The sequence below is a fragment of the Homo sapiens genome, chromosome 3, assembly GCF_000001405.40.
Source record: "Homo sapiens chromosome 3, GRCh38.p14 Primary Assembly".
Classification (NCBI taxonomy): domain Eukaryota; kingdom Metazoa; phylum Chordata; class Mammalia; order Primates; family Hominidae; genus Homo; species Homo sapiens.
In genome coordinates this window covers 62,253,734-62,276,130 of record NC_000003.12, presented here as the reverse complement: position 1 = coordinate 62,276,130, position 22,397 = coordinate 62,253,734, and the positions used below count along the sequence as shown (strand labels likewise).

Below are 22,397 nucleotides of genomic sequence, written 5' to 3'. Positions count from 1 at the left end.
ACATTAATGAGGTTACTAAAAGGACATTTTCAAAACCTTCTACCATACGGCCACGTACAGTACAATTGAAGGGTGCTATCAATAGCATCAGAGTAGTGGCTGCCTCTGTACCTAACATACAATCCAGTATAAAAGATCACTAACAAACTGTTTTAAAGTCTTACATGGCACAACTGAAGAGTTTCTGTTCTTTTCTTTGTTACACTCTTTCTGAGCACTGAAACATTCCACATATTTTGCATTACACTGTGTGACCAGCTGAAAAAGAAAAAACATTTTAGTCTTCATTCAAAGATATAATTGATAGCATTTGCTTGATGCTTTGGCAAAAATCCCAATCAGATTACTGATAAACAAGACCATTTCTGTGCCACAAAGAACCTTTTAAGACACAGGGTCTTGCTCTCTTGCCCAGGCTGGAGTGCAGTGGCATGATTGTAGCTCAGTTAACTGTGATCCTCCCACCTCAGCCTCCTGAGTAGTTAGGACCACAGGTGCATCAGCACAACCAGCTAATTTTTAAAATTGTTTATAGAATTGGGGTCTTCCTGTGTTTCCCAGGCTGCTCTGGGATTACAGGTGTAATCTACCATGCCCAGCCCCAGAGAACACTCTTGTGCTTTCCTAGTGGTACTTCTCTCAGTGACCTTGATTGTATCTTTCTTATTTCTACTATCAGGTAGAAATAGGTACTGTGTGCAATAGATATTTCTAGAACTATGTGGATTCTTCTGTTATGTGATGTCACTGCTGCTGTGAATTTTTTTCTGTGATCCTCACTGGCATAAAAGACCTACGTGAGTCTACATTAAAAAAGATTGCTTAATGCTATTGATTACGAGCTAATCAAGTTTCTTGAAGATAAAGGAGTACTTAACTAGTTCTCAGTACATTTCTGTTGAACTGAACTAACATTGTTCTAAGGCTTTTATAAGTAACCAGCCCAGTAGTTTGATTATTATTCCTGTTTATGTAGCTTGGTTGAACCATTTTGTCAATCCTATTTTTTGGGGGCTGGCATCCATCCTAATGGAGTATATGAGATCAGTGTTCTTCTCCAGATGCTTTAGTAAAACTCATGGTCCCTGGATATAATTTTCATTTTCAAGTTTGATTCTTGTTTTTTTCTTCATCTTGAGCTCTAAAATGGTTAGTGCCTGTAAAAGAACCAACTACCTGGTCGCATTTCTTAAATGAAGTTTTAAAGTATGTATAAAAAAAAATTGAAGAAACGAAAAAGGCAGAATTTAAGAAATGTTGGTACTTAATATTTTGTAAGAACTCATGTTAAACATTTAAAATGATACACTGTGTCCTCATTATTAATTATCTCATGGTTTTATAGTAGAATGTTAATGGGGAGCTAAAAATTTTTAATTTTATGACTGAACTCAGTGAAATTAAACTATTTTTCATTTCATATCACTTGGTATAATTTGCTTGGCAGTCTCATTTCTTCAGCTGAGATTCAAATGAAAGTTTCAGTCTATGGAAAGTTTTACCATGAAAACTAAAACTGTAGATTCATCTCATTCTTTGAATCTTGATACAAAGGGAGAAACTATTTACATACAGAACAATGTGCAAAATAGAATTTAAAAGACAAAGATAAATAGGAAAGCACTTGGTAACTGGAGAGACAGGCGATGTTTGAAAGTTAGAAGCAATTTTGATTTATTATCAGATGACTGAGCCCTAATTATTTTAATAGTCCTTATAATCTCTCTTTTTCACCTTCACTTCAGTCAATTCCATATAAACCTTAACCGCTTTTAAGCTTCTTCATGTCCCTATCAAAGAAAAAGAACAACCATTTAGGAAAAGTTAACTTTTCTCTAGTATTGTTTAGTAATTCTTTTTAAATTCCTAAATTATCTTCTGAAATAGTTTTTGAAATAGGCATATTTTTAGGACAATATGTCTACAAGTCATCATTCTTAATAATTAAGGTAAGATAGATTAGTTCAGAAAAAATAGGACATTTTTTGGACTAAACGAGTTACTTTAAAGTACTATGTCATTATGGCCAGGGGCTGATGTTTATATTCAGATAAAGTCATAAATTGCTCAGAAGAAAATACAACACTGTATATCTACTTGAATACCAACAATTCATACATAGGTCAAAACCGTATTTTCTTTTTCATCACATTTAAGGAGTACAAGGAGTACAAATAGTAATCCATTTCGGTGTATACATTAATGCAAAGAAGACATAACCCCCAAACTCAAGGCATTTAAAACATTTTCTTGCTTTATGCCAAAGAAACTTTTTCAAAGCACTACCTTGAATTGCTTTTCCAGTCGTGTCTTTCCTCCTACTCCTGGTATAAGGATGCTGTTAACATAGCTGTGCAGCTGATTTGAAGATACTTCAGTCTCCTTTCCAAGAATGGCTTCCAACAAGGCATCATGGATGAAAATGTACTGCTCCTAAGAGGTACAATACATGGTAGTCACTGAGGGAGTGTTAAGGGTTAGCCACTCATTCATGAAGTGTACCTTAGTTTAATTCTGCTGCTAACAGGGACCTCCCAGTGATTTCCTTCAAGCACTTACAGCTAGGTGATTTGCTCCAATACTCACTTTATCAGTCTTAACTTATTTTACGGTAGAGACTGTGTTAAGTTTAGCTCTGTATTCTATACTGTGCCTGGATCACGGTATTCTATACTGTGCTTATTGCTTCAACTCAATAAGCAAACAAAAAATCGTGTTCAATGAAGGGTTTTAGAACCATCCTCTCCTATGTATTTCTCAGGCCAGACAACATGTTTAACTCCCCCTACCATCTAACACAGCTCTTGAAACAACTGTATCTCTTTCGTAAGTACTTGTGTAGTTATTTAGGAATCCAAATGTTAAGATCCATACAGAAATGGAAAACTGTGATCCGTAGAATAGGATCATTGTCAGAATATCTTCTAATACAAACCTGTAAATTACTGCAAGCCCTAAAAGAATGAATCTGTCTCTTCATTATCATTTAACAAATTTCAGTTACAGCATTTGCCAGAATGTCGTGAGGACGCTGGCAGCTACTCCTTACCTCAGTCTGGACGAGGTAGTTACGCTGTGTCCTGATATGCTTCAGGAATCCCAGGACGTTAACTGTGCTTTTGTCTTTTATCTGTTGCAGCATGCTGTCTATTACAATATAGGTGCCTGTTCTGCCCACACCAGCACTGTAAGAAATGAAGACACTCAACTGGCACTTTTGTTTTATCATACTGTTAACTTTGGATTCGAAAAATTCCAATCTAAACCCCATTTATTTTATTATTTTTCTGAGATGAGATGGAGTTTCACTCTGTTGCCCAGGCTGGAGTGCAGTGGCGCAATCTCGGTTCACTGCAACCTCCGCCTCCCAGTTCAAGCAATTCTCGAGCCTCAGCCTACCGAGTAGCTGGGATTACAGATGTGTACCACTACACCCGACTAATTTTTTATCTTTAGTAGAGGTTTCACCGTGTTGGCCAGACTGGTATCGAACTCCTGACCTCAGGTGATCTGCCCACTTTGGCCTCCCAAACTGCTGGAATTACATGTGTGAGCCACCACTCCCAGCCTAAACCCCACTTAGATAACCTTAGATGACGTACGTTATTCACTTAGCATTGCAACATAAATCACAGAACAAGCGACATGTATTTGAGTACCAAAGTTTAAAACAAACAAAAAAGAGGCAAGAATGCATTTTCAAATGAAACAGAATAAAAGCATTTTTAAACAACCAACTAAAGTCATTTACTGTGGCTGACAAAAAACAAGCTTTATACAAGGATTTCCCAGTGCTTTTGAAAAGGTATTTTATATGGAACATTTAAACTAAAAATTTAAAAATGAAATATTTTCATATATACTATAAATATTGTTATTTAGAAGAACCTTTCAGAAAAGCCATTTACAAAAACACAATCTCTATTCTAGTGTGGAAAGTTCTTGTGTTTAACGTCATATTTTTATTTATTAGGATCAGGCTACAATTTTCCTATAAACAATGGGGATTTTGTAATTTTTTCTTTTTTTTTTTGAGTCATGATCTTGCTCTATCATCACCCAGGCTGGAGTGCAGTTATGTGAACACAGCCCACTGCAGCCTTGACCTACTGGGTTCAAGGGATCCTTCTGTCTCAGCCTCCCATGTAGCTGGGACCACAGGCATGTGCCACCATGCTGGCTAATTTTTTTATTTTTAATTTTTGTAGAAATGGGGTGTCACTTTGTTGCCCAGGCTGGTCTCAAACTCCTGGGCTCAAGTGATCCACCCACCTCAGCCTCCCAAAGTGCTGGGATTACAGGAGTTGGCCTCCATGCCTGGCTGATATTATTAATAAGAAGATTTTATAAAAACTAGGGATTGATCTAGTTTTTTAAAAATCACAGAAGCAGCAGATGATTTCTTAATGTTACAGGAATAGAGCCTCTTTAAGACTATCATAGGTCTTATCCATCCCAGTTTCCAGTGGAAGATTCAGCTTCTAAGTGAAAGCAGTAGCAATCATTGTGGTCCAAGGTCACTGAGGCCTAAGTCCCCTGCCCCATCTATTTCACATGTTGAATCCTAGACCCTACCTGCAGTGCACCAACACAGGGCCCGTTTCTGGCATCCGAGCTGCTGAGGATCTCCTCACGAAAGTCAGTACTGGAAGGGCATACTCGGGAACTCCCATGTCAGGCCACTGTGTATAGTGATACTGGATCACTACCCTTTCATTCTGACGACCCTTGGGATTTCCCTTCTGACCCTGTGAGAAAAGTGAAAAAAGATGTCTTTAAGCGGGGGGGTGGACATTCTGGAAAAAAATAATGTAAGGGTGTCAGGACACATGACCACTGATCACATTCACCCTAATCACTGTTCCCAGGCTAGGTTATTCCCCCTTGTAGCCAACTTTCATGCCATTAAATTGGAGACATTACCAAGCTGGATATGAAGTGTCACTATCACTTAGAAGAGAAGACTGTTTAAGATTGTACTAAGAATGAACATTTAGTATCAGTTTTTTTTGGATTTGGAACTATCCAAAGCACTTGTACTTTTCCTGCAAGGCCTCCATTTCCTGACTTTCTGCCCCAAGTCCAGATCTTAGTACTTTGCTTTCATGTCTCTGTGGGCTGTGATTCCCATTCCTTCTCCACTGTCCAGGCTGGACCTTTAGGAGCCAGAGTGCTTGTTGCTGCTGTAAACTATCCAGGAAGTGATGGGAAGATTTTAAATGTCAAATACTTCTGTCTTTAGAGTCAGAGGCAATGTCTCATTTACCTGTCACTTTCATAAATGACTTTTTCAGAGTAGTTTTCCTTTAAGTGTCTGAACTTTTTACATTTTAACTACTTTAGATGAAATATTCCCCAAATAGATTATTTGCTATGATACGATTTCTTATTATCAATACCTAATTTCTAAATTTTTTTTGGATGACTCAGGGTCATTAACACTGAAGCTTGAAGTGTGTCTGGTCCTGTGCTATTGTACAAAGGCCCATGATGGCTTTAATTTAATTCTTCTGTTAACTCTCATTTTTCTACTTTTTCCTATTAGTATGTAAAACACCTAAAGTTCCTATTTGACTTCTTCCTCTGACTTAAGCTGTTTCTAAAACAAGAGTAAGTGGGCCCTGTTTAAATACCTGAAATATTCTCATCAGTTGGGCTTTGTAAGTTTTTTGCTGGTTATTGATCATCTTGAGCCAGCCAGCAGCTCTATTTCATAGTAGAGAACACAGATGTATTGCTATGCTACTGATATTCATGTTATTTCTGCCATTTTGGGAAATAAACATACATAGAAAGGATAGTTAACCTGGGATCACAGATGGGCTTTGGAGCCACTGAAATTTTACATAAAAATGTGAGTAAGTGTGAATATAAATGGGGCAAGGAGGCTACAGTTTTATCACATTTTCCAAAATGTCCAAGACACCAAGAAAAAAAAAAAATTATCCCATTGCTGCAAACAACTGCCATACCTAAGTTCTGTGGAATAACTACATTTTTTAATGAGCGTCTATTTACAGTTCTTAATACAGTATTTCCTCCTTATCTGCAGTTTCACATTCCCGAGGTCAACCACAGTCCAAAAATATTACAGTATTTTAAGAGAAACAGTATATATTCATATAACTTTTATTATAGAATATTATTGTTCTATTTCAGTATTGTTACTCTCTTGCTGTGCCTAATTGATAAATTAAATTTTATCATAGATATGTATGTATAGGAAAAGACATTGTTATAAATAGGCTTCAGTACTACCTGAGGTTTCAAGCATCCACCGGGGGTCTTGAAACATACCTTCCACAATTAAGGGGAGACTGTGTACTGCTGTGATGATTGATCTAGGATATTTGTTGTGACAGTGGATTTTGAAAAAGAAACTGAGATAACCTGAAAACAGTATTTCCACAAAAATGTGATTCCTAGGGTATTAGTAGTTCTATAGAGAAGGGTATTATTGTTAACACCAGTGCTCTGGTCACTTATGTTCACTGTAAATTTCTAAAATGCTGGGGGGATATATATTATGTAGCATTCATTTCCCATTCTTGAACAGCAGAATCTGATGTTTACAAGAATCTTACAGGACAAGTATTCCTTGGAACATACTTTGGGAAACAATGCTTTATATCTGTCAGAAAATTGGAATAAAAAAGCTAAATCAAACAGATGCTGCCATATTTGCTGAGTATTACCAAAACCTAAGAGGATGATTTTTTAAAAAATGAAGCCTGTTCATGTAGAGATTAAAGGCTCAATCAGGCCAGTTAAATTCTATTAGATGCTTTGCCAATACCTTTCACACCATACACTGATGTCAATCAAAAGAGTTATGAAAAAATGTTTTAAAAATACTTTTTAAAAACCAAGTTGGTTATGAGATTTGGCCTTGGTTGTACAGTAATTTTCATACAAGTATAAAAAGGGGATGCCCTGGCAGCCTACCCAATTCCTTCCATACCTTTTTCACTTTTGTATTTCTGATTGAAAAACGACGAACAGTGTAGCAGGCATGTATTTTTGTGCTCTTCAGCGTGACAATAATGTTTCCATATTCCTCACTGTTCTCTGTTGGCCAATACTGATCACATTTTCGCTGCAGAAAGAAAAAAGTTGTAAAGTATAACTGCAATCTATGCCACAATTCTGTTGATAATGTAATTTCAAACGACAATGTTAAAACACAGGTGAGATTGCCATTTAGTTGACTGAAAAAGGAATACGTGAGTTTAACTGCTTAAAGGCAGGTGTGACCTCTGACAAGGCTGATGGCTTGGGATAAGTTTGTGTGAGACCATGTGAGAAATGGGCCTAGTATTTATGGTCACCTTTCAATATATAATGCATTTTTATTTTTGCATTATAATGCATTTTTAAAAGGGACTAAGAAAGAAACCTCTATGTCTGACCTGTAAGAAATGTGGGTAAGGTTTGTTATAAAGGGAGCTTAAGTATCATTTGGAAGGCCGGGTTGGATTCATGGAAGGTTCTCTTCTAACTGTGAGACTCTTCTTATTGTAACTTGGATCATCAAAAGTAAAACAGTGACTCCACAACATGAAGCAGTGGTGATTTTGAGCAGGGAACCTGAAGCGTAGGTTCTTTTATTTATTTTTATTTTTGTTTGTTTTTAATTTTTAGTTTTAGTTTTGGGGTACATGTGCAAGATTTGCAGGTTTGTTACATAGGGAATCATGTGCCATAGTGGTTTGATGCACCTATCAACCCAGTGTGGTGATTCCTTGAAGTGTAGCTTTTATTCCAGCCTAAATTAGCATCATCTAATGTAAACTCATAATCCAATAAATTCTACAGCACTAATCATTTTTTTAAAAGGTCCTCTTAATGATGGTTAAACTGTTTAGGCAATTTTTGCTTCCCCCAATCTTAACTATTAGTAGTTCCTTGTCTACACCACGCTTCTTTCAATTTCCCTGTTTACTGTTGTCTGTCCCCTGTACTTAGAACACCCTTTCCTTCTCTTTTTAGCCTGTGTAATTCCTCGTAATCATTGTTCAAGTCTCAAGTATTTGCTCCTTTAAAAAATCTCTGTACAGAGGAATGTACAGAGGATACATTGATTCATTTTGCAGCATTCCACTGATACCCTGTTCATCTCTGTCATCACATTTACTCTCATAATGCCTTAGCTCTCTTTCCTTCTGAATCATAAGCAAGATAAAGCAGAGAGAACACTTTTCATTTCCGTAACTCTTTATACCTTGTCAAGTTCCTACCCTAAAGCAGGTACTCCACAAGTATCTTTTGAATGAAGGTGCATTATTAAGATAGTGAGTCAAAAGGCTCTTACTCTTCCTTTTTCCACAAGGTTCGTAATCATCACAATGATTCCAGTGTTTTGTTCCCAAATCATCCTCCAGAAATCTTCAAATGTAGACTTCAAAGGTCCTTGGGTGGCAATGTAGGCTTTTGCTTTGTTGTAACCCTTCAAAATGACACAGCACAAAGTGAGATGAAAGCAGTTATCACAGAAGACCAGTCAATAATTCAAATGCCTTCCATATTGAATGGGCTTTGTTTTTAGTGAAAGCTCTGTACAGTATTAAAATATATTAAACAGTTTCTGCTGCAGTCTTCAATTTCTAGAAACAGGTTTATAATAACAGTTCTGACTTACATCAACATAGTTTGCATTAATGTAGTCGCTGTGCTTAGAGTCTTTTCCTGGTAAAGGTCTTAACTTCACCCTACTGTGATCATCTATAGAAGATAAGAAAAAAAAACAGAAATAAAATGGATAATTCAGAAACTAGCACCATTCTAAAGCACAACACAAGGCAATCAGGTAACATGACATCTCCCAAGGTAGTCTGAGAAAACTTTTGGCAGAACAACTAAATAGAGCATTCAAACCCATCCCAAAATACAGAGCCACTCCTACATCTCCTGCTCTCAGGATGCAAACTCATGTAAAACTATTACAAATTGTAGTCCTCTGTATTTTAAAGCCAAGTTCAAAGGTATTTGCTTGTTCTGTATTTTAAAGCCAAGTTCAAAGGGCTTTGATTATGCCCTATGCCCCTGTTCCCTCCCCATTAATACAAATATAAAAGGGTGACTGATCTGTCAAGTCCAAAACATCTATTAATATTTTCAGGCAATTCCATTGCTAATTCACTTGGATTCCCTGCTACCCTAACAGAACCTAAGGAATTGAGGAAACCAGAGCTTTTGTTAAGAGTAATCTCATTACAGGAATCTGAAGTTAATGTTCAGATTTTAGGATCCACTTAACCTCAGTTAATGAACAAAAGTTGGGGGTAGGTGATGCATGACATGTGTATCTAGTTGCCCAGCAGATTGTGCCTGTTTTTTTTAGGATAGCAAAATAAGTAAAAGGAAGCTGAGGTTATAATTTTATTTTCCCTAGGTAGAAACAGAATGGGCAAAACCCAATTTATGTTTCTGTTTATAGTCATTATCATAAAAGGCTAGTTGAAAAAGAAGTCCAATGAGTGGATCAGCATAGGCATTACTGACCTCAGAATATACCAAGCAATTTTTGAGAGCCCTCTATGTTTTTGGAACTGTGAACTGTTTTTGTTGTTCTGACAAACTTTCAGTTTACAGTTGACATGAAACAGGTGTTGCTTGATATAAATAGGCCCCAAAGGAAAAATTTCTCCTAAGGCATCTGGATCCAAACCGTTATGCCTTAGTAGTCATTAATTGCATATTGTTATTTCTTAGACTGACAAATAAGACATTAATAGATCAATTTGGGAGGTGATTTGGTAACATCCACATATACCTTGAAAGTTGTGATGAATCTGAGAGAAGGTTTTTCATACATCATGTTTCTGGCTCATTCACGGTCTGATTTTACTTGTTTCTATGCTATTCTTTGCTATGAAAAGGCATTAATATAGAGGGTAGATGAAGGCAGGCAATGTGCCCAGAATCTGAGTGGCCAAGAGAACACCAAAACCTAACTCCCTGAATGTTTAAAAATAAAATTACATCTAATTTGAAATTGTGAAAGTAAAATCACAAATGAAGTTGTGAAAGTGCAATTCACATTTAACCAGAGATGATGGTTTTCTAGCAAAACACCATGACCTTTGGGCACATCACACATTAGTTGCTTTGATTTTCTCCTCCTTTTTTTGCCACAATACTTTTAGCAAGGCAGTAAGTGATGTTTGACATTAGAGAAGTAAAGGATGCTCTGGTGGAGAGAATGGTGTGTGTGTGTGTGTGTGTGTGTGTGTGTATATAAGGCACAGATGTATACGTGTGTGTGTGTGTGTGTGTGTGTGTGTATGTATGTATGTATATATAAGGCACAGATGTATACATATCCTTGCCTGATTTCTCTGGTTAGAAAGGAGGTGTATCTGGATAGAGAAATCCTCATAGTCACAGCAGTGGTGAGCCTTGATTGAGCTGGCCAACAAATACTGCCAAAGTCAATCCAAAGACTAGGGAGAGGTTTGACTTTCTTCCTTGTTCTCCCCCTGGCTTTTTTAACCAGTTCATTTTCTCAGAAAAGTAGAACAAACAATCCTATTCAAAAGTAACTTGGAGTTTTTGTAACATTTTATTTAGAAATAAAACTACCTTTGTTTATAGAGGACATCATGTATACAGAAATTCAAGGAATCAAGAAAAAACTACTAGAAAAGACGGATTCAGCAAGGTTGTAGGATACAACCTACAAATGTATTTATATAAACTAGCAATGAGCAATCCAAAAATAAAACTAAGTAAACAATTTCATTTACATTAGGATCAAATGGAATAAAATACTTAGGAATAAATTTAACAAAAGCAGTACAGTAGTACAATTCAGAAACAATTGTTGAAAGAATAGCCAAAACAATCTTGAAAAAGGAACAAATTTAGAGAACTCACATTAAGAAAGTGAAAAGACAATGCACAGAATGAGAAAATATTTGCAAACTGTATATTCAATAAATGATCTGTATCCAGAATATATAAAGAACTCTTACAACTCAACAAAAGACAAAAGTAAGCCAGTTAAAAAATGGTAAAGGATCTGATTAGACATTTCTCCAAACAAGTTATACAAATGGCCAATAAGCACGAAAAGATGCTCAACATCACTAATAATTGGGGACATGCAAATCGAAACTACAATAGGATACCACTTCATACCGGTTAGGAAGGCTGTTTTTTTTTTTTTTTTAAATAGTAAGAGTTGGTGAGGATGTGGAAACACTGGACCCTTTATATATTGTTGGTGGGAACGTAAAATGAATAGCCACTTTGGAAAAGAGTTTGATAGTTCCTCAAAATTTTAAACATAGAATTACCATATAATCTAGCAAATTCTACTCCTACGTATACACCAAAGAGAAGTGAAAATATCTGTCTACATAAAGACTTGTACATGAATGCTCATAGCGGTATTCATACTAGCTGAGAAGCGGAAAAGAAACAATGTCCATCAAATGATGAATGAATAGACAAAATGCTGTATATCCACACATTAGAGTATTATTCAGCCATAAAAAGGAATGAAGTATTGATATATGGTACAACATGGATGAGTGTTGAAATCATTGCGCTAAATTAAAGAAGCCAGACACAAAAGGTCACATATAGTATGAATCTGTTTATATGAAATGTCCAGAATATGCAAAACCACAGAGACAGAAGGTAGATACAGGGTTTCTAAGTGCTGGAGAGAAGGAGGAATTGGGAGTGCCTGCTAACAGGTTTCTTGCTGAGGTGCAAAAACTGTTCTAAAATTAGATTGTGGTGATGATCGTACAACTCCGTGAATATACTAAAACCCCAGAGTTGTATACCCTAGGAAATTTTTTTTTTTTTGGAGACAAGGTCTTGCTCTGTTCCCCAGGCTTGAGTGCAGTGGCACAATCTTGGTTCACAACAACCTCCCCCTCCTGGGTTCAAGTGATTCGTGTGCCTCTCCATTAGCTGGGACTACAGGCGCATGCCACCACATCCCATTAACTTCAGAATTTTTTTTTTTTTTTTCAGATGGAGTCTCACTCTGTCACCCAGGATGGAGTACAGTGGCGTGATCTCGGCTCACTGCAAGCTCCGCCTCCTGGGTTCATGCCATTCTCCTGCCTTAGCCTCCCGAGTAGCTGGGACTACAGGCGCCTGCCACCACGCCCGGCTAATTTTTGTATTTTTAGTAGAGACAGGGTTTCACCGCATTAGCCAGGATGGTCTCGATCTCCTGACCTCGTGATCCGCCCGCCTCAGCCTCCCAAAGTGCTGGGATTACAGGCGTGAGTCACTGTGCCCAGCCAAGTTTAGTATTTTTTGTAGAGACAGAGTTTCACCATGTTGGCCAGGCTGGTCTTGCACTCATGGCCTCAAGTGATCCACCTGCCTCGGCCTCCGAAAGTGCTGGGATTACAGGCGTAAGCCACTGTGCCTGGCCTTAAATGGGTAAATTTCATATGGTATATGAATTATATTTCACTAAAACTTTAAGAAAACATTATACAGTACTGTTCAAATTTTAAGTGGTCCAATTTAAATGCACTATTGTATACAATTCTATGTAATGTCCTTACCATGGTATATGTTAACTATAAATATCTATGCCCCTACCCTTAGTATCAAAGCATATATTATATGCCAGTGAGCCAAGCCCCACATGTCTGTGAAATGTGGTCTTCTAGCCATAGAAGTAGCTTGTGCTCCTAGGGTATTCCTTGAGGCTCTGTATGAAGAATGTCCATTTGTTTGAGTCCCTAACCTACAGAATATTCCTGACCATGGAAATGTGATAGATAGGAGTAAGCACATGGACCAAAAGGCCTGGAGGCTCATCATTTAAGGTACAAGCCAATTATGTAGTCTTTGAAAGAATGCTTTGAAATTCAGCTTGCTTGATTCAATTCCCAATATTTTCATTTGTATTAAAAGATTTGGCCCTTACAGGTTAAAAACAATGTCAGTGTAACCAAGTGACATTCAAATTTTGGCTCCCAACATGTGATATGACATCACTTCATGTGAAAATAGCGAAGCTCCAAACATTTTCTTTCAGTCACCTTATTAAGCTCGCTGAGCCCTGACAGCCTAATGAAAGGCTAAGGGGGAAGAAAATGTCCCAACTTCTACACTGTTGAAGATGGGCTAATGAGAGGTTAGCTTGCAAGAATCATTCTTTCTTGGCATCCTGCTTCTGACTGCTTGGCTTTCAGCTTATACCCAGCATGAAAATTTAATTTCCTCGCAGTTGAAGGTAGTTTAAAGCTTATTACTCACATGCTAAAATGTTGATGTATCTGTTTTTGTGCTTGTTTTCTGGATGATTGGAATGCTCTGCAGTGATGTTCATATCAGCAGTACAGCGCTGGACTTCCTAGTGAAGAAAACAGCAAGATTATAGACACAGTTTAGAAACAAAGGAACACCATATACATTTAAAGGCATAAAGTATTTACTCACTCCCTGGCCACAGCCACCGTTACCTTCTCAATCCCAACTTCGGATATAATTATTGATATATTTATAACGAGTTTATGAAGAATGTGAAAAAGGTATAAAGATTTCATTATTTACTATTTCATCAATCATCTACTTTTTTCTAGTTTTTGACCTAGTCCCTGAGATGTAAAACAATATCTCTTTTTGAATACATCATAGTCTATGGGTGAGAAAAATATTCAAAAAGATAGTCAAACATGATGAATACAAAAGAGGCCTGAGAAAGCTCTGATGGGAGCACAGAACAGAGGAAGGCTTTAGACAGGTGAAAAAATTTACCTAAGTCTTAAAGGAAGAAAGGGAATTTCTAAGAAGTATAATCTCTACCATGATTTGCAATATGCTTACAGGCCTTATAGCCTCATTTTATAATTGTGAGGGTGCATTGACTCTAAAGACTCAGTGCTGAAATAACCCTAATAACAGCCCAACTAATGGTCATATCTCATATATACAGTCTTGACAAATTATTTGTGAACTCTAGTATTTTAAAAGTTATCCTTCTTTGGAAAAATAGCAGTAGCAGAAATAACACTCTTATCCTACCTTGGCCGTGGATTTAAACGTCATCCATTAGCCTAATACAACGTTGCTGAAAAGCCAAATTTTTCTACACTATATGCTTCAAACCCAAGAAAGTACTGGAGCTGACTAATAAGGGAAGTCATTAGCAGTACACAGCTGCTACAAAGAGCCTGAACAAAGTAACACAAAATTATCAGGAGAAATGTTTTACACAGAACAGATGTAGCAGAGTTTAGAAGCATGCAGACTTTTTTTTTCCACAAAGGAGTTGCCTAGTAATTATGCATGTTTTCCATAGTATTTACATTAAACATAATGAAAACAATGAACTGGTTGTCTTTTATATTCACAAAGTACTTCCCCAGGGAGAAGTACACTTCTTCTCTAGAAGGAGGAAGTTACTGTACTCAAAGAATTTAAGGTATAAAAGCAAAGAATTTCTGTGTGTTCAAAGAAACAGTATTCAATGACTCTCCAATTGTTGGACACTGTAAATTGAAGTTTCCATAATTATAGTCCTTCCCAGCTGTCCATTTAAAAAAAAAAAAAAAAGCCCCACAGGCATTAATTCAATCCACCTTTCTGGGAAAGTGTGTTTAATGACAGTTCTTACCCTTTCCTTACTCTTACTAAACTCCAATATATTCTGTTCTAACATAGTTTATAACCTATGGTTTGGAAAACACTGGTTTAAGGAGCTTTAAGGCTGCCCTTTGGCTCTTCTCTAAAATGAGATAATAAAGTGTGATCACAAATCAGTCTACGTAAGAACATGAGCAATGCTAGCCAAACTTAGCACGTTGGGACCTGCCTTTTGAAACTGCCTTATAAGCTCTGAGCCATGCTCTTTTGAAGAGTTTCAAGGGCAGACAACTTTTGAAAATGGATTTGAAACAAGTTAGTCTTTTGTTTTCGGGTTTTGAAGGTCACACCTTTGGCATGTACTTCTTTAGGGTTGAGTTGTTCAGGTATCTTATGCTGAGAGATTTTGGCTTTTAGTACCTTAGTCTGAGATTTACTTTGTTTATTGATTTTTTTTTCCTGTTGTATAGATCTGACCACCCTAGCTATGGACTGAAGTTGGAGCCTCTTTTCTAATATAATGCAATTGACCAAGACTGCTTGGGAGCAGCTGTCAGTATTGTTTAAAGCTGTCATTCAATATGGCCAAACTCTTTGTTATCTAAAACCCCTTGTCTGATCTGTTGCCTCTGTTTCACTTTTCCAATTAGATGAATGACAGAAACAAAAAATCGTAATAAATATTGTCAAATCTGATTTTATTAGAACCCATGGGGTTTGCCTGAGGCCTTCTGATTTTGTCATGTAGATAATAATGTCATCTGTAATTCCTTGCAGTACTGCCTGGCTCATTTAGATGCTGATAATATCATCTGATCTGGGAGTGGCTTTTCTCTATCAGAACTGCCATTTCAAAGTTAACAGGATTTTAGTGTGTTAAAAACCCTTTAAAGAGACACTGGCCAATGGAGTATGCATTGTAAATTTACCTATTCAGAACTTGATAAATAGTTTAAGCTTGTTTATATTTTACTCCCTATGTAACAAAGCTAGAATTCTCAAAAAGAACAGTTTGAATCTTAACAGGCACATAAGCATAGGAGAAGGCCAACATAAAACAGGTGTAAAATAAAGCAAAAAATCGAAGACTGAACAAACCCTAAAAATTGATGTAACGAGAATTTTAGGGAGGTGATGTAGGCTAAATCACTTCCTACCTACAGTCATTGATGCAAGAGGCTATTTAAAGAGCACTTAAAGACCTACTGTCCTACTATACTGTGGCTCAATTCAAAAAAATAATGCAACAAAACTTCTAGAAATCTTTCAGATTGCTCAGTTCCAAAAAGGTAGCTGAGAATAAATTATTTGGATCTGGTTACCAAGTATTACACCAAGTAGGGGTAACATTCTTAGTGCCTGAGTTCAGGCAGCCTACAATTGTGGTAAAGAGACTGTTCTACAGATGACTGATGGGTTTAGGTCATGGTAGTGACCCAGTGCATGTACAGTGTCGGACACAGAACTGGCCTTTGACAGGTGCTGGTTACACTGCATCTTCCAGCCCCTACTCTCTCCTGCTCAGGGTATAAATTGCTGCCAGACTGATTTTCCTCAAACGTTGTGCTGACTTTGTTATTCCCTTCCTCAGAAACGTGTGGAGAGATTCCACATTCCCTTAGCCAGGCTTTCAAGGTCCCATCTTATCTTCCCCACCCTTCCCAATCCCAGACAATATTAACTCCATACCCTTTGAAAAGACCATTTGATTTCCTGCTTATTGCTTTATTGCCATTTACCTTGGTAAGAATGCCTGTTCTCTTCCTGTATCCAAATCCATGTATCTTTATCAAAATGACTGCATTTGCCCCCTAGAAAACTAACCTATCTTTGGAGAGTATAACACAGCATTATTATCCTGCAGCTGGTCTCTAGCATAAGAATTATTTTTCATGAAATCTGGCTATCTCCCTTTTATCTCCCTCTTCACCAAAATCTCAAAAAACTGTGATTTACCTCATAACCGTTTAAAAACGTTTTTCTTAAGATATTTAAGACCCAAACTGGCATTTTTGTCAAAAACGCTGAGGAAACTAACTCTACAGCAAGCTTATCCAATCCATGGCCCACAGGCCACAGGCGGCCCAGGATGGCTTTGAAAGCAGCCCAACACAAATTCGTAAACTTTCTTAAAACATTGAGGGTTTTTTTTTTCCCTGCAATTTTTTAGCTCATCAGCTCTCATTAGTGTATTTTATGTGTGGCCCAAGACATTTCTTCTTCCAATGTGGCCTAGGGAAGCCAAAAGATTGGACAGCCCTGCCTACAGGCTCATTTTCTGCCCTCTTGCAGGCAGCAGTCGGTGCAGCATTACACCTCTGACCAGAGACTTCCCTATTATACATCATCAGCAGCCCTGGACATCTCCCTTCATTTCCTAAAGTGATTGTGGCCACTGGTCCCTCAGAGCATGGGCTCAGGTGGACTAAGCTTTGTTCTTTTGATTTAAGATGAACAACCAGCCCAAATTTAGCACAGCTGGTTAACTGTAATAGAGGCAGTCCCCCAAAGGATCTTGTCCAGGGGCTGTGGACTTCTGGCCTCATCCTGCACTCTTTTAGACTTCTGATTCTACCAGTCCCTGCCTGTTAATTCTTCTGACTCATGGAGCTTTGGAGTGCCTTCCTTTTGAAAGAGTATGCTAGCACTGGTCTTTTGGAAGCCTTCTGCATTATGTTTGTGGGGGCCAAGGAAGAGGCTGTCAATCTTTTAATACTACTCTGGGAAACTACTCCCTGGGAAGGACAATGAGGTTGAAGTTAGCTCAGGTAGCCAAGGTAATGGTGTCATCCAACGCTATCACAAGAAAAGGACTGATGTTATTTCTAGTGACTGCAAATACTGTATGATGTTGCTTTTCACGGTCTCTAGAATTTATTTGACAAGAACAAAAAGCTGGCTTACAGCAACACTTCTAGACAAAGAGTCAAAGGTACCAGTGAATTGTTTTTCTCATTCTCCAAGCAGTAAAGTTCTGAAACTACGATAGTTATTCACCAACATTTTTTTACTTCCGAGATGTTTAAACATGATGGATGAGAATTTTTGCTGAAATCTCCAATGAAAATACATAGATGCCTTTCTCCTTTGCACTTCTTCAGAACTTTATGCCTGTACAATAGCACTTATTTTGCTTTGTCCTGTTTCTGTTTTGGTTGTGTACACTCTGGCCTCCCCCAGTACCAGATTGAACTCTTTGAGGGCAAGGACTCTAATTCATATTTGTATCTTATATTATGTCCAGAGAATGGTAGATCATCAGTAACTGTTAGATGGGTTGTTTTAGCTCCTCTTAATGTCCAGTTGTTAACTTTTCAGTTGTATTTCTCATAATTTTAAGACTAATTTTAGGCCTACATGTTGGATAAGATTTTTATAAGTCGTATTCTCAGCTATCTTAGAAGGCTCGAGACCATAAAGATCATGTAATGGGCAGCTAATACTCCTAGTGGGGGGGGTTCCTAATTTGGCTGCTCTCCCCACTTTTGTATTGTTAAGGCACCGAGGCATGATCATTTCTAGTCACTTGCAAGCTTCCTTATTTCTCCTTCTGACCTTGGCTCATTACAGGACATTACTCTGGCTTTTTGGTGTTTTTTCCTGAGACAGGGTCTTGCTCTGTCGCTCAGGCTGGAGTGCAGTGGTACGGTCATAGGTCACTGCAGCCTCAATATCCTGGGCTCAAGTGATCCTCCTGCCTCAGCCTCAGCCTCTGAATAGCTAGGACCACAGTTGTGCGTCACCACACCTGGCTAATTAAAAAAAATTTTTTTTGTAGAGACAGAGTCTTGCTGTGTTGTCCAGGCTGGTTGGGAACTCCTGATCTCAAGCGATCCTCCCACCTTGTTCTCCCAAAGTGTTGGGATTACAGGTGTGAGCCACTGTGCCTGGCCCAGGACACTACTTTAATGAGAGTCTGGATGGTGTCAAGGTGAACCATGTGGGTTCAAGTCAGATACCCTGGTCTTAAACCCTACTCCTGCCATTTCAAAATGTAGCCACCCACAGCCTCAGTTTTCTCATGGGTAGTTTCGTCATCAGTAAAATGGGGACAATAAGATACACCTACCTCAGGAAATAGAATGATCCATGCACAGTGCTAACTAGTAAATGCTGGCCATCATTATTCCAGGTAAATGGGTCTGGAAATCTGAGACTAAGATTACCTTAACTCTCTTACCATAATACAATTTTGTTTTTAATTACACAAAATCTTTTTCTGTCCTTTCTTATAAAGCCTGTTACTATCTCTGTTTATAAAATAGCCGTAATAGCTTCTTATGTAGCCTATTACCAGTTTTCCCTTTTAGCAGTTACCCAAAAGGAATACTACTCTTTTAAAAGTACTTCAAATTTTCACCTAATTATAAGGTGACAGTAGTATTGGTGAGCTTTTCTATTTTCTTATTCTCCCCTTTACGTTGCTGCTTTGCTGTTCTTTTTAGAAGAAAGCATATTCTTCCTATTGTGAACAGCTCTGATTTTAAACCTTTCAAACCTGAAAAGACAGTGAAATCACAACAGCCCTTTCACCTTCCTGCCTGCCCTCCCCATTCCACTCCCATAAGTATCAGCTAATACTATTTAAGCTCTAAAGTTCAATGTAGGCGATTAAAGCTTTTAGCTGCAGTATATTTTTTTAGGACAGAAATAGGGTACAGATGCCCAGGATTTGTTAAGAAGCATGATTTTGATGCAGCAAAGCCCATTTTAAGTCAGATCAAGTTTACAGAGGTGTAGCTGATTATTTTGAATAATTAAATGGTGTCAAAACCAGCTGTGATGAATAGCACTGGGGTCTCAAATCATAAATAATTGAGAAACTGGAGTTGCATTTGATCATCCTGATCAAATTCGGCTCTCTAGAGGATAAATGTTTGTCCTGAATACCATCAACGTTGTTAAATGCCTCAATATTCTTGCTCAGTCATCCAGCCAACAGTCAATTGAACTAAATCACTTTAACACCACACACATTTGCTGTCCTCATGAATACAAAATGTTTGACTTAAACCATGTTCTTTGTAGTTGAATAGGCACCTTTTTTAGTAAGCATCTAATAGCATTAAATACTTGACATGCTTTTGTTGGTTCCATAAAACATATGACTTCGTAGAATAAATCAGAGGTTCTTTCTACCACCTTTGTTTTCATTCTGCTCAAAACAACAAAAACTAACAAAAAAACTAAGAGAAAGACTTAATTTAAAACAAGTCAGCAATATAACTGCCTTTATGATAGCCTTTTGGGATTCTAAATTTGCATAGACAGGGGCTTTTCATCCTGTTTTTATTTCTCATTGTTCATTCAAGGTAACTGCACCTTCCAGCTGTATGACTCCTAGATGATCTTAAAGTGCTTACCTTCCATTACTTCATTTTGCCCTGTAACCAATTTTGTTGAAAGAGATGGGTAGGTTAGCATCATCATCATCATCATTTCCATTTTAAAGTAGAAATGAGACAGAGAAAGGAACCAACTTACCCACAGAGCTAGAAGACAGCTGAGCTGCCATGAAAACTTGGCCTCCTCGACACAACTCTTGCTGCCAGAGATGTGCCTTAGTTAAGCGCCTCAGTGAAGAAAAGGGCAGTCTGTTTAATAGCTCCTCATTGACACCCTGTCACTGCTGAACTGGCACAGAACCCAGAGTTGGCAGGGTGGTACATGCCTCTCTCTACCTTGTTTCCTACACACCAGTTCTTAAAATCAGAAGGCTGTGTTAACCCAAGTCTTCTCTCCAAGGATTAATAATCATGAAAACAACAACAGTCAACCTTTGCATGGTTCTTAACAATGAACTTGGCACTTTTAAAGATGTTAATCATTTATTTTTCCAACGACGTTACAATGTAGGTGACATTGGTGCCATTTTTCAAAAATGGGAAAACTGGGGATCCGAGATGAGGTGATTGGTCTGAGGATTATGAAGCTCACTACTGATGAAGCCAGCACCCAGTTTCTCAGACACCAAACCTGCTATCTTCACTATACCATGTGCATTGCAGAAAAGACATGGAATTAGGGAGCCTTGTGTTATGACTGCTGTTCCCAGTTAGAATTAGATGTAGCAAGAACCTGAAAAGCAATCCCTACCAGTTTGCTTCTTTTCTATCACTAAGTCGGTTCTTTTGTAGAAATACATATTCAGGACAGGTACAATCAACTCCCCTTTCACCTAAATTTTATTTGGAAAAGAATGCCTATTAAAATAATAGATGAAAAGAAAAACTCCACTTTCCGTAGTTACTGTTTTGTTATGCTTGGAATGAATTCAGTTCAAGTTTACAAAAATCTGCATAAAGTAAGACTTAGGTTTCTGGAAGTTAACTTCCAGCCTTGAAACATACCTCAAAATCCTCAGAGAACCCATGCTGGTTATTAGAATAGAGCTCACCGATGTGTTTGACAAACTGTTTGACAGGAATGGCTTCCATGTCATCTGGGGGGAATAAAATAATATTCAAAGTTACATAGAATACTTCCATAAAACAAATTACACTGATAAAGCAAAGCATCCTTAAGACAAATACTTGATTTTTGCAAAGAGCAAAATAATTGTATCACACAAAATAGATGTCCTGAAGAAAAGTCTCAGAATTTATTTTACATTAGGATCTCATTATGACTTTAATGCCTACAAGCCAGGTTAAATATGGTTTTTAAAAAAAGGTACATAGAGAATTCCCCTTATTTTTATATTCAACGCAATTTACATAGTTAAATTACCATAGCATACTCTTAACTAAAAGTGTGAATTTATCAAGGGTACCCATTTGCCAAGAAATTTTATCACACCAGGGGTTTTCTTTGTTGTTGTTGTTGTTGTTTTTTTTTAATTGCTGTTCAATGGAGTCCAGCTTGAACTTTAAGCAATTAAGTTCTATTTCCAATCTTATAAGTTTTAAGCAATCCTTTATACACAATTATAGATAGATGCCATTGTACCAGCTGGCTCTGGGTACAATGCCATCTATCTTTAAGTGTTCAAAATTTTAGCTCAAGACAGCTGTGTCTACATGATGCCAAATAATCAGTTTGACTGAATTAACTGGATTTTTTTGGTGTTGACAGACTAGGTATAGATTCGGGAAGACTCCACATTCCCATTTATTTCGTGTTGTCACTTCAAAAGGAGACTTTCAGTTCATAAGCCCAAAGTATGTTTTAAGCTTATTTATCATGATACTTGAGTACTGCTATAAAATAGCCACACCCAACTAACTGGAGCTCCCCAACCTCCTTCTTCCCTTCTCCCTCGACCCTCCCCCACAAATATTTCCTTTTAAAAATACTCTGCTGAATTTGAGATAAACAACAGACATGACATTTACTTTATTCAGAGTGAAAGATCTTTGGCAAACGCACAAACATCTAAACTGCCACAGATGCTTTTCTTAGCAAAGGGTATGAAGATCTGTATGTGTAAATGAGGTCCTACTTTGGCAAGAATTTTATAGATCCAGGCCTGACAATCTGATTTCTCTTCATCTGGTGACAGTTAACATTGACTATGTCATTCCTTCTTTCTTTCGAGAGAGCAAAGCTCTAGGGTGGCTTTTTGCATCTATTGACATTTTCAAACTTGAATCATGCTTAAGTGGAAAATAGCATCTCTTATACTTTGTTTTAGGAAGGTGACTTATGTGTTCATAATCCAAGTTGCTTAGCATAGAAATGTTACTTATCAAATAGGTGGTGCTCTGTAAGTACAAATTCTTCCTGTGTGAACAATTAAAGTCCTAATCATGTTAATAGGCAACCTTATGAAAAAAATTGCCAAGTTATTTACAAATATTTCAGAATTGAAGATGTTCATGAATATGCAATCA

General features: G+C 37.5%; 1 protein-coding gene and 1 long non-coding RNA gene across 10 annotated transcripts in view; one reads left to right on the top strand and one right to left on the bottom strand.

Moving 5' to 3' along the window:
* Positions 1-14,312, top strand: part of PTPRG-AS1 (PTPRG antisense RNA 1) — a 57,129-nt gene extending 42,817 nt beyond the window's left edge. For all 3 annotated transcript variants that reach the window (NR_038281.1, NR_038283.1, NR_038282.1), the window contains one exon: positions 11,989-14,312. This is a non-coding gene — a long non-coding RNA (PTPRG antisense RNA 1). The remainder of the gene's footprint in view (positions 1-11,988) is intronic.
* Positions 1-22,397, bottom strand: part of PTPRG (protein tyrosine phosphatase receptor type G) — a 736,039-nt gene that overhangs the window by 21,479 nt on the left and 692,163 nt on the right. For all 7 annotated transcript variants that reach the window (XM_017006961.2, XM_017006963.2, NM_002841.4 and 4 more), the window contains 9 exons: positions 20,916-21,007; positions 13,237-13,333; positions 8,639-8,721; positions 8,312-8,446; positions 6,962-7,096; positions 4,576-4,748; positions 3,050-3,185; positions 2,287-2,433; positions 165-258 (listed from right to left, as the gene is read on the bottom strand). In XM_017006961.2, the coding sequence (XP_016862450.1) occupies positions 165-258; positions 2,287-2,433; positions 3,050-3,185; positions 4,576-4,748; positions 6,962-7,096; positions 8,312-8,446; positions 8,639-8,721; positions 13,237-13,333; positions 20,916-21,007 (1,092 nt within the window). The remainder of the gene's footprint in view (positions 1-164; positions 259-2,286; positions 2,434-3,049; positions 3,186-4,575; positions 4,749-6,961; positions 7,097-8,311; positions 8,447-8,638; positions 8,722-13,236; positions 13,334-20,915; positions 21,008-22,397) is intronic.